General features: G+C 42.0%; 1 protein-coding gene and 1 pseudogene across 5 annotated transcripts in view; one reads left to right on the top strand and one right to left on the bottom strand.

The window, feature by feature from the left end:
• The window catches only part of WDPCP (WD repeat containing planar cell polarity effector), a 721268-nt gene that overhangs the window by 122307 nt on the left and 585644 nt on the right, over positions 1 to 13317 (top strand). The gene's annotated exons all lie outside the window — the stretch shown is intronic.
• CSP1 (CS pseudogene 1) lies at positions 1057 to 1515 on the bottom strand (annotated as a pseudogene).

Below are 13317 nucleotides of genomic sequence, written 5' to 3'. Positions count from 1 at the left end.
AATGCTCTACGTCACTAATCATCAGAGAAATGCAAATTAACACCACGAGATACCATCTTACATCAGTCAGAATGGCTATTAATAAAACGTTAAAAAACAACAGATGTTGGCAAGGATGTGGAGAAAATGGAAGACTTATACATTGTTGGTAAGAACATAAATTAGTAAAACCCCTATGGAAAATAGTATGGAGATTTCTCAAATAACTAAAGATAGAACTACCCCTTGATCCAGCAATCTCACTACTGGCTATCTACCCAAAAGAAAAGAAATCATTATATAAAAAAGATATTTGCACCCTTATGTTTATTGCAGCAATATTTACAATAAGATATGGAATCAACCTAAGTAGTGTCCATCAATGGATGATTGGAGAAAGAAAATGTGACATATATATATCATATATATCATATCATATATTTATCATATATATGGGATCACTATTCATTGTTTAATGTTTTAATATATATTTTTACCTCAAATGTATTTTCAGTGCCTCAGATACAATTTAATCTTAAGTTTTCAAAGGCCTCCTAAAATAAAAAAAAAGTACACTTTCTTTTTAAGCTTTCTTACTTTCTGGTAGTCAGTTTCCCCCACAGTCTTCAATTTTACCCTTAGAATTCACAACCCCTCATCAGACCATCTGTGCTCATGGACTTGGACCTCTCTAGAGGGAGGCCTCGGGCTCGCCTTCAAATGTGCTGTGCCAGTATACCCACTGCTTATGACACCCCAAATAGGACTATGTAGTAATTCGTCTCCATCATACCGCAGTACTGGAGCAACACCCAACTGTGGGCATCAACGTTGGGCCAAGGATTCTTGGCCTTGCCCTGCTCTAAGAGGATTTTGGACAGAATCTTGTGCAGTTGAGCAGTCAGCTTAACATGGGGTCACTAGGCAGGTGTTTCAGAGCAAACTCTCACTGACAGGTATACCATGAATCAGTCTTCCTTAGAAGACTGCATGGCCAGAGCCTGGGACAACCTGTCCTGAGTTTGTTCGAGATGTATTCTCTTAAATGCTCATCTGACACATCTTTGCCGCCCTTAATTCTTTCCCACCTTTAGTTTTGGGCAGCAGCCTCTGGCATTCAGGGATACCATGACCTTAAAAAAACAGACACTATCATCAGGATCAAGAACTGACATTTCATGTACCAGTCCTTGGTGCCTATTGTGCCATCATTTTTCATGTTCACAGTGATTTGGCCTGCCACCATCTTGCCATGTTGCTGCCTGAAGGTCTTAATTCTGGCCTGCTTCTTACGCATCAGGTCAGCCAATATGTCTTTCAAATTCGTGGAGGAAGCACTGGCATGCTGGACAGCAAGAATACAAAAAGATGCATTCTTCATTTCCAAGAGTCAGGTGGCAACAGTGAGTAATGCCATGGCAGGTGAACTCCAGAATATAGTGGAGACAGAAGGAGGGAAGAGAGCTGCCTCAGGAATGGGAACCACCACTGCCTCTCCAGAGGTCATACCGATGAAGTGGACAAGGTTGAAAGGAGACACTTCATAATATATTTATTTTATATTAACTGAGCTTCCAAATGTGGGCAGCCTAGTTCAGTACATGTAGCACTGAATTCGTAATAAAGTACTCCTAACGTCAGTTCTGCTACTGATTGGCTGTGTAGTAGTAAGTAAACTATTTGTTGTTTCTTTGCCTCACTCAATCCTTTGGCCTTTAATTAGTAAAATATAAATGTAGCACAAGAGTTCTGGTCAGATCAGTCTTTAATATTTAATTTGAGGAATTCCTGGCCCCAGGGCCAGTTTTTATTTTCCAATAAAGTCCTCATGGGGCAGTGCATCAATACCATCTCCTTCTTGCTCCCTGTCCTCCCGTCGGCCCCACACTGCACACCCCAACCTCTTCCAAACAAGGGTTTTTCTGTGACCCTATATAAAATGATAGCAACTAGAAACAAAATGGGTGGACAACTCATGCATTCTATTATTTTTGCATATTTATTCAAATAGCACTTACACTTCCTTTCAAAAGTTGGGCTCCCCCATCATAGAGATTACTTCTGAGGACAATAAAGACGTTTAAAATAATGACAAAAGTGCCACAGAGATGATCAAATAGATTTGTGAGAGAAAAGAACTAAACCAGAGAACGCAAAACTTAGCTGGGGTAGGGAGGAGCTTACTGCAATAGTGACTTTGATCCTTGTCCTCACTAAGGTTAGGACAATAAGAAAGTAATCATGAAGCAATTAATTATGTTAGATACAGGCAGAGAGGTCTATTAAGTTACTAGAGGTCTATTAAGTTACTAGAAAGAAAGTTGTCCTTTCTGTCCTGATCTGTTACAGCCTTCCCAGAGTCAGAGAAGTGGACTGTCCCTTCAGAGCTCATCAAGTCCACCAGCTTCTCAGAGAAACGCTTACTAACCTGAGTCTTAAAAATGTCTCCTGAAGAAACATTATACTCTCCTTTAGTGTCTTATTTTGATGTCTTTTAATTCTTGCAGCAAGAACACATTAATGCCAAATAGAAACCCCTCTGCAGTTAAGCACATTTCCTCTTTCCTCTGGGAAGGAAGAACAGAAGATCACCAACCTCGACCTCGTGTGACATCCCTCAAATAGTAAATTCCTATACCATGTCTTTCTTTTCTTCCTGTATTTCCCTAGCCCTCACTGGGTCTAGGTCCCAAAACCTTAAGTATTGTTCTTGCCTCTCTGATTTTATGACGAATGGCAATCCTGACACCTCCTGATGCTGAGAAGTAGAGAATTCTTGACTTTATCTTTGTATTAAAAATTTAAATGCAATGGAATGTATGAGCAGAAATAGGCTATTTTTCTTCTACAGATCACTAATTGCAAGATTCTTTTCATAAAAACAAATATACCATTTTTCTATTGAAAGTACATTTTTTGTGAAGCATGAAAAAATTTAATCTCAAGCTCTGTAGCTGTCAGAGAAAAGAATGGCTCTTCTATTTTGAAATGGCTGTCAACAAATATGAGGACTGGGTATTGTTTCTCTTTTTGGTGAACTGTCAGGCTTCTCTTTATGAAGCTGGCATGTTACAGGTAGCTAAAGTAGCTTCTCATTGTAAGGAATTGGTACAAACAGTTGTTTCTCTACCTATGGCTTATAGTCCTCTTGCCTAAGGCTGAAAGGGTATTCTGAGTTGCATCATACTTAATGCAGAGAATTGAACAAAGTGCTGTTTTGCATTTATTTGCAAATTATTTTATTGGGGCAAAATTTGCATAACATAAAATGAACCATTTTAAGGTGAAAAACTCAGAGGCATTTAGTATATTCACAATATTTTGCAACTACCATCTATATCAAATTCCAAAATATTTTATCACCCCACAAAGAAAATCCATACCCACTTACCACAAGGCCCTAGAAACCATCTATCTGCTTTCTATCTCTATGAATTTACCTATTCGGGATATTTCATATAAATGGAATCATCCCATATGTGACCTTTGTGTCTGGCCTCTTTCCACTTAGCCTAATATTTTCAAGGTTCATCCATGTCACAGCATTCTTTTTTTATGACTGAATAATATTCTATCGTATACATATATCACAATTGGTTTATTCATTCATCTATGGATTGACACCTGGGTTGTTGCCACCTTTGACTATTGTGAATGTGCTGCTATGAACATTTGTGTACTATTATTTATTTGTTGTTTGTTTGTTTGTTTTGAGACGGAGTCTCACTCTCTCACCCAGGCTGGAGTGCAGTGGTGCAATCTTGGCTCACTGCAACCTCTGCCTCCTGGGTTCAAGGGATTCTCCTGCCTCAGCCTCCCAAGTAGCTGGGAGTACAGGTGCGTGCCACCATGCCCGGCTAATTTTTTGTATTTTTAGTAGAGACAGGGTTTTACTGTGTTACCCAGGATGGTATTGACCTCCTGACCTCGTGATCCGCCCGCCTCGGCCTCCCAAAGTGCTGGTATTTATTTGAATAACTGTTTTCAGTTCTTATGACTGGAATTGCTGGGTTGTATGGTAATTTTATGTTTTACCTTTTTAGGAACTGTCAAACTATTTTTCTATTTTTATTTTTGAAAGAGAAAACCCACAGCATTAATGAAATGAACTTATCTTATAAGGGAGGTATAGTCCCCTGAACCTGAGGAGGATTTTCTGAAGAATAAAAGGAAGGCCAGGCGCGGTGGCTCAAGCCTGTAATCCCAGCACTTTGGGAGGACAAGGCGGGTGGATCACCTGAGGTCAGGAGTTCGAGACCAGCCTGACCAGCTGGCCAAGATGGTGAAACCCCATCCCTACTAAAAATATTTTTAAAAACTAGCTGGGCATGGTGGCGGGTACCTATAATCCCAGCTACTCGGGAGGCTCAGGCGGAAGAATCACTTGAACCCGGGAGGCAGAAGTTGCAGTGAGCCAAGATGGCACCACTGCACTGCAGCCTGGGCAACAAGAATGAAACTCCGTCTCAAAAAAAAAAAAAAAAAGAATAAAAAAGATACATAGTTGTTCGCAGCGAAGATATTTTAGCTGACTGTCCTCTGCTCCTGAACAGACAGAACCAAAATATACTTGGAACAACAACAACGACAATAACCACAATCTCTATAAATATCAGGGGAAGGAATCTCAAATTAGCCGCAAAGCCCACTTAAGTTTTTGCCATGTTGTTTCTCTGAGATACTTCAATCAGCACAAATCAATTGCCCTTTGGCTATGTTCCTACTATAATTAACCTCAAACCTAACGATGAGAATTGGTTTAAATGAAGAAGCCAATTCTGATGAGGTATATTCTAAGGAAAACCTGAAAAACATTCTAGTTGGCAGAAGTCAGGTTTGTGCCCCTTTCTTCTTGTCAGCATAAGTATCTACCCTTTGAGTGTTTGACTAAAGTTAGCAAATTAATTACCATTTAATTATGATGTAGAAAGACATCTACCTATTTTCCAGAAACTGCTACTCTGTTATGGGTAAATTGGTATGAAGATTAATCTAATTTGCCTATTGTAGAAATAGGCTGGACTTTAAAAATTCATGCCTTATGTTCAGTTTTCAGAACGTTCCCATAGACATTGCCTTTTATATGACATTGCTATTGAAGATGTAGTGGAGCCCTGAATGATACTCATCCTACAGTGCCAATGAAAGGTTGTAGGAGACAATTCACCATTCCTATCCCTCTATGCTTGATAAAGCTGTGCTGGTCATAAAATGAACTTGTCTTGGTAAGGGAGGTACAGCCCTTGGAACCTGAGGAGGATTTTCTGAAGAATGAAAGGACCCAAAGGGGTGTGTATGGAATGGAGGTGTGTGATGGAATTAAAACTGTAACAGGATCAAAATGGAAACATTAGAAACAAAGACCTCACTCTTTCTTGGAGGTTTTGTTCAAGTCAGTATAATTGAGACAATATGCCCACATAGTGCACCCAGAAGATGAGCTCATCCATTGTGGATCCTGCCATGTTGTAATTCAGAATTACTCCTCAAAATTACAAAGCTGTTACAGTCTGAGTGGCAGCGTTGCCAGAGAATGAATCCTTAGAGAACCCTGGCTAGCCCAAGTCAGAGGAACCACTCCTTGGCTGCTAATCCACTGTGTCTATAATAGTTCAGCCCTGATCCCTGACATTATGCTGCCTGAGTCACATGCTCTTGGAGAAGATGACATCAGGTTTAAGTAGAAAGGTCAAAAGAGGACAGGCAGGCAGGGCAACTTGGGTGTAGGCAGATGAACCCTCGATCAGATTATTTAGAAACAGATTAATGAGAACACACTACAGGGGGTCTCACTGTCTTCACACAGAAAAAGACTTCTCCTTGAGGAGGGCTCACAAATTCCTGAGAGTAATGATTATGCCTGTGGAGAAACAAAATGTCCCTGAAGTGGAATTTTTGAACCCACTTATAGATAACTGGTAGTGGCAGACAGGAGAAAGCCTGATGCTGCAGGCTTCAAACATATTCAGGAAGATGTAGTTCATAGAGTAATTCATATTAAAACCTTAAGTCTCAATCTCTCCTTATCCCAGGTTATCACTTTAAGATATTAGGCTAGTTAGATCTCTAAAGTTTGATTAACATTTTCCAAGGACAGGAGAAATTATTCTTGCTATGGGAGTTGATATTCGTCTTTCAGTAATTTATCTCCTTGAGCTATTACAAAACACTGAATATATTGCTACTTTTAATATTTTCAAAAAATATTGGAAAATGCATCTGATGCAAATTGGTAACTCATGGCAATATTTTTGGATAACACCTGGGTTCACTGCCCACATGAGCTGAGCCCAAGCCCACATTATATGGTGGAAGTTGTCAGGCAATATCCTTTCAGCTGGCACACTGGGCCCTTCCTTTTCTCACCAGAGCATAGAACAAGTTTTTGGTAAATGTGCGAAGCTCATATGACTAATGAGACTTGGTTTGGCCCCTAATGAGATTCTAAGTCCCATTACGCCAAAATAGAAATCAGAGCATCACATCAACCTTGTGAAAGCCCCAAGAACTATTCCTCTCTCTGATATAGGGAGAATGAATTGCACAACCTCAATAAAAAAAAAATCCTTAAATGTTGCCATACTCACCAAATCCTGCATTCTGATCCCAGCAGCAGTAGCAAGGGAGTTTGTGGGAGGGCCCGGTTTCTCCAGTATCAATCCAAAAGGTCAGGAATGTGTTTCAGCTCCCATCAGGAAAGTACTATCAATTTACCACACATAGGGTTTACCTAATCCATTAGAAGCTATTTCTGTTTTGTTTGTTTGTCGGTTCGTTTTAAGAACTGTGTCTTGCTCTGTCACCTAGGCTGGAGCACAATGGCACCATCACAGCTCACTGCAGCCTCGACCTTCTGAGCTCAATGGATCTTCCCCCTTTAGCCTCCCAAGAAGCTAGGACATTTGCACACCACCAGACCCAACTAATTTTGTTTTGTTTTGTTTTTTAGATAGATGGGGTCTCACTATGTTGTCCAGGCTGACCTGGAACTCCTGGGCTGAAGCGATCCTCCAACCTTGGCCTCTCAAAGTTCTGGGATTATAGGTATGAGCCACTGCGCTTGGCCTAGAAGCTATTTCTGTAACCCATTTATTCCCAGATTCCCAGTCTATAACTACTATGGAAAGTATCCTTCCATTTCATACCAAAAATATTACAGTATTCTCTCCTATGAACCCACTTGCTGGAAATTCACCTCTCTCAAAGTGGTTTCAACTATATGTGAAACTTTACTGGTACTACCTTATATTTGGTCTAAAACAGAGCTCTCCCATGCTTCCTCTCTCATTTTTTTCAACTCATTGTTTTCACCTTCAGGAGAGCTCTGCTGTCATGTTCTCATATCTACCCACTGAAGCCCACTGTTATCCTGACTTCAGCCTCAGGAGAGATAAACTTTTTCCTTTGGTCCAAAGAAAACATCCTGATAATGATTCCTGCTTTTTGGTGGGGCTAGGATGAAGATGTAATACCTTTTGGGCCTAGGGGTTCTTTACCTGGCGTTTCTTATCAAAATATGCTGGTTGTTTCCTTCTCTGAACTGCTGTTGTCCCTGTTGCCACTCTGACAAAAATAGAAGCTTGATGTTGCAGCTTCCCTGGGCACAGCTTACTCCAGCATGAGCCTGCCTTTTCATACCTCAAAGTCCAGGATGAAATAGATCCCTAATACAGAGACAGGTGGAGATCCCTCCTTCTACAGTCCATAGTTTTAGTTTATTTCCCACATGGGGATTATCCACTTCCAAGGATGACTGATAGTGGGAACATTCATTCTCTCAAAAGAAAAAGCCTACTTCCACCCAACCATTCAGCCCAACAGGTGCTCCTTGGCCCCAACAATACAATCGCAAAATGGTCTAATATTCACCTCTTTCCCAAAGTCAGGGCTAGTGTCTTATCCATGGTCACTTTTTAAACATTTGTATTTTCTACGCTTATTATTTCTTAGTTACAGAGATCTCTTGGTCCATTAATTAGTACATCAGTCAGGGTTCGGCATGGGTCTGGAAAGAGAGGGCATACTCTATGTGTGCAATTGAGAGTAGTCAAGGCACTGTTTACAAGGCCCGAGCAGGGTTTGCAGAAATCAGCAATAGCATATAGTATCTGGAATTTGCAACAATGAGGGGCTATTACTGCTCATAATTCTGAAATGGAAAGGAGAAGATATGTTTACCAGAACTCACAAAGCGTATGGAGAGAACTGTGTGTCACAAGTGCTAGCTTTCAGTAGACAAACTCAGCCAACCTTGGGCACCCTGGTGGGGAGGAAGCTGGGGAATAAATACCCCGATCTTACTTTCCTCCATTTTCCACTTTCCTGCCACAGTGCTGCTCATCGCCACCCCACTCACCAAGCCCATCACTAAGCCAGAAGGCAAAGGTGCTTGTTGATGTGGTCAGTGTAGAGCAGCCTCCTAGGACCAGAGCAGGGTAGAAAAGGACAAAAAGTAGATCCGGAGGGGCAAAAGAAGTTACCTAATGAAATTTCCTATTGTGAAACTCAAGCTTTTTTTTCTCAATTTATTTCTTAAAAGTTGCAAGAAATCTTCTAGTGTTAGTGTAAGGATACTACAATTAGATTCACCTCATTTTTACCCCTTGATTTTAAAAGCTTTAACCATGTGCCCTCTGAATCATTGCTTTCACAAACCCAAAAGCTCTAATCATTTTTGTTGTTCCCTACTCAGCAGTAGCCCTTCGTCAAACATTTTATTGTAACTCTCTGCTCCTGAATATCTTCAATAATTTCCTTAAGTTTCAGCAACTAAAACTGCATACATTATTCTAGAAGCATACATCCCAAGGTAGGAATGGAAAATATGCTAATTAAATCATGAGAACTTTCAGGACAATAAAAGTTAAAATAAAACTTAAGGAAATAAGAAAATATAGCAATGTTAAGAATTGAAACAATTTAGAGGCAGTTAGGAATTATTAGGAATTAGCACCACATAGACCATAGACTTAAATTCATAGCAGGCCTTGGGGTGGAAGTTTCCATAAGTTTAATGTATTTCTGGTGGCTTGAAATTGATTCTATTTATTGGGAATATTTTTCATAGCGTAATCCAATACCACCCATGACTAGATATGAAATGTGCATGAATCTAGCCCCCAAATAAAATGTCAAATATGATAATACCACCAAAGCCTGAAGGGGATGGGACTGAGGGTAAGAATGGAGGAGGGAAAAAGCAGCTAAATTTTCCATTCTTTTTTTCGGGACGGAGTTTCGGTCTGTTACCCAGGCTAGAGTGCAGGGGCAAGATCTTGGCTCACTGCAACCTCCACCTCCAGGGTTCAAGTGATTCTCTGGCCTCAGCCTACCTAGTATCTGGGATTACAGGCATACATCACCAAGCCCGGGTCACACCTCCAGGGTTCAAGTGATTCTCTGGCCTCAGCCTACCTAGTATCTGGGATTACAGGCATACATCACCAAGCCCGGGTCATTTTTTTTTTTTTTTTTTTTTTTTTTGTAGAGACAGGGTTTCACCATGTTGGCCAGGCTGGTCTTGAACTCCTGACCTCAAATGATCCACCCCCCTCGGCCTCCCAAAGTACTGGGATTACAGGCGTGAGTGCCCGGCCAAATTTCCCATTCTGTTTAAGAATGGGTAGCTATTGGCCAGGCGAGGTGGCTCATGCCTGCAATCCCAGCACTTTGGGAGGCTGAGGTGGGCGGATCATGAGGTCAGGAGATCCAGACCATTCTGGCTAACACGATGAAACCCTGTCTGTACTAAAAATACAAAAAATTAGCCAGGAGGGTGGAGCCAAGATGGCCAAATGGGAACAGCTCCGATCTAGAGCTCCCAGCGTGAGCTGGGACAGCTGATTTCTGCATTTCCAACTGAGGTACCGGGTTCATCTCACTGGGGAGTGCCGGACAGTGGGTGCAGGACAGTGGGTGCAGTGCACCGTGCATGACCCAAAGCAGGGCGAGGCATCGCCTCACCCGGGAAGCGCAAGGGGTGAGGGAATTCCCTTTCCTAGTCAAAGAAAGGGGTGACAGACGGCACCTGGAAAATCGGGTCACTCCCACCCTAATACTGTGCTTTCCCAACGGGCTTAACAAACGGCACATCAGGAGATTATATCCCACACCTGGCTCGGAAGGTCCTATGCCCACGGAGCCTTGCTCATTGCTAGCACAGCAGTCTGAGATCAAACTGCAAGGCAGCAGCGAGGCTGGGGGAGGGGGGCCCGCCATTGCCCAGGATTGAGTAGGTAAACAAAGCGGCCGGGAAGCTCAAACTGTGTGGAGCCCACCACAACTCAAGGAGGCCTGCCTGCCTCTGTAGGCTCCACCTCTGGGGGCAGGGCACAGACAAACAAAAGACAGCAATAACCTCTGCAGACTTAAATGTCCCTGTCTGACAGCTTTGAAGAGAGTAGTGGTTCTCCCAGCACACAGCTTGAGATCTGAGAATGGACAGACTGCCTCCTCAAGTGGTTCCCTGACCCCCAAGTAGCCTAACTGGGAGGCACCCCCCAGTAGGGGTGGACTGACACCTCATACAGCTGGGTACTCCTCTGAGACAAAACTTCCAGAGGAACGATCAAGCAGCAGCATCTGCAGTTCACCAATATCCATTGTTCTGCAGCCACCGCTGCTGATACCCAGGCAAACAGGGTCTGGAGTGGACCTCCAGCAAACTCCAACAGACCTGCAGCTGAGGGTCCTGACTGTTAGAAGGAAAACTAACAAACAGAAAGCACATCCACACCAAAAACCCATCTGTACATCACCATCATCAAAGACCAAAGGTAGATAAAACCACAAAGATGGGGAAAAAACAGAGCAGAAAAACCGGAAACTCTAAAAATCAGAGTGCCTCTCCTCCTCCAAAGGAACGCAGCTCCTCACCAGCAACGGAACAAAGCTGGACGAAGAATGACTTTGATGAGTTGAGAGAAGAAGGCTTCAGAAGATCAAACTATTCTGAGCTAAAGGAGGAAGTTCGAACCAATGGCAAAGAAGTTAAAAACTTTGGAAAAAAATTAGATGAATGGATAACTAGAATAACCAATGCAGAGAAGTACTTAAGGGACCTGATGGAGCTGAAAACCATGGCACGAGATCTACGTGACGAATGCACAAGCCTCAGTAACCGATGCGATCAACTGGAAGAAAGGGTATCAGCGGTGGAAGATAAAATGAATGAAATGAAGCGTGAAGAGAACTTTAGAGAAAAAAGAATAAAAAGAAATGAACAAAGCCTCCAAGAAATATGGGACTATGTGAAAAGACCAAATCTACATCTGATTGGTGTACCTGAAAGTAACGGGGAGAATGGAACCAAGTTGGAAAACACTCTGCAGGATATTATCCAGGAGAACTTCCCCAATCTAGCAAGGCAGGCCAACATTCAAATTCAGGAAATACAGAGAACGCCACAAAGTTACTCTTCAAGAAGAGCAACTCCAAGACACATAATTGTCAGATTCACCAAAGTTGAAATGAAGGAAAAAAAGTTAAAGGCAGCCAGAAAGAAAGGTCGGGTTACCCACAAAGGGAAGCCCATCAGACTAACAACTGATCTCTCGGCAGAAACTCTACAAGCCAGAAGAGAGTGGGGGGCCAATATTCAACATTCTTAAAGAAAAGAATTTTCAAGGCCGGGCACGGTGGCTCATGCCTGTAATCCCAGCACTTTGGGAGGCCGAGGCGGGTGGATCATGAGGTCAGGAGATCGAGACCATCCTGGCTAACAAGGTGAAACCCCATCTCTACTAAAAATACAAAAAATTAGCCGGGCGCGGTGGCGGGCGCCTGTAGTCCCAGCTACTCGGGAGGCTGAGGCAGGAGAATGGCGTGAACCCGGGAAGCGGAGCTTGCAGTGAGCCGAGATTGCGCCACTGCAGTCCGCAGTCCAGCCTGGGCGACAGAGCGAGACTCCGTCTCAAAAAAAAAAAAAAAAAAAAAAAAAAAGAAAAGAATTTTCAACCCAGAATTTCATATCCAGCCAAACTAAGCTTCATAAGTGAAGGAGAAATAAAATACTTTACAGACAAGCAAATGCTGAGAGATTCTGTCACCACCAGGCCTGCCCTAAAAGAGCTCCTGAAGGAAGCACTAAACATAGAAAGGAACAACCGGTATCAGCCACTGCAAAATCATGCCAAATTGTAAAGACCATCAAGACTAGGAAGAAACTGCATCAACTAATGAGCAAAATAACCAGCTAACATCATAATGACAGGATCAAATTCACACATAACAATACTAACCTTAAATGTAAATGGGCTAAATGCTCCAATTAAAAGGCACAGACTGGCAAATTGGATAGAGTCAAGACCCATCAGTGTGCTGTATTCAGGAAACCCATCTCACGTGCAGAGACACACGTAGGCTCAAAATAAAGGGATGGAGGAAGATCTACCAAGCAAATGGAAAACAAAAAAATGCAGGGGTTGCAATCCTAGTCTTGGATAAAACAGACTTTAAACCAACAAAGATCAAAAGAGACAAAGAAGGCCATTACATAATGGTAAAGGGATCAATTCAACAAGAAGAACTAACTATTCTAAATATATATGCACCCAATACAGGGGCACCCAGATTCATAAAGCAAGTCCTTAGTGACCTACAAAGAGACTTAGACTCCCACACAATAATAATGGGAGACTTTAACACCCCACTGTCAACATTAGACAGATCAACAAGACAGAAAGTTAACAAGGATATCCAGGAATTGAACTCAGCTCTGCACCAAGCAGACCTAATAGACATCTACAGAACTCTCCACCCCAGATCAACAGAATACACATTCTTCTCAGCATCACATCACACTTATTCCAAAATTGACCACATAGTTGGAAGTAAAGCACTCCTCAGCAAATATAAAAGAACAGAAATTATAAAAAACTGTCTCTCAGACCACATGCAATCAAACTAGAACTCAGGATTAAGAAACTCACTCAAAACTGCTCAACTACATGGAAACTGAACAACCTGCTCCTGAATGACTACTTGGTACATAACGAAATGAAGACAGAAATAAAGATGTTCTTTGAAACCAATGAGAACAGACACACAACATACCAGAATCTCTGGGACACATTCAAAGCAGTGTGAGGAGGGAAATTTATAGCACTAAATGCCCACAAGAGAAAGCAGGAAAGATCTAAAATTGACACCCTACATCACAATTAGAAGAACTAGAGAAGCAAGAGCAAACACATTCAAAAGCTAGCAGAAGGCAAGAAATAACTAAGATCAGAGCAGAACTGAAGGAAACAGAGACACAAAAAACCCTTCAAAAAATCAATGTATCCAGGAGCTGCTTTTTTGAAAAGATTAACAAAATTGATAGACTGCTAGCAAGAC

Source organism: Homo sapiens, chromosome 2 (genome assembly GCF_000001405.40).
Source record: "Homo sapiens chromosome 2, GRCh38.p14 Primary Assembly".
NCBI classification, from domain to species: Eukaryota; Metazoa; Chordata; class Mammalia; order Primates; family Hominidae; genus Homo; species Homo sapiens.
The sequence above is the reverse complement of the archived record's forward strand: the minus strand, read 5'-3'. Positions and strand labels throughout refer to the sequence as shown.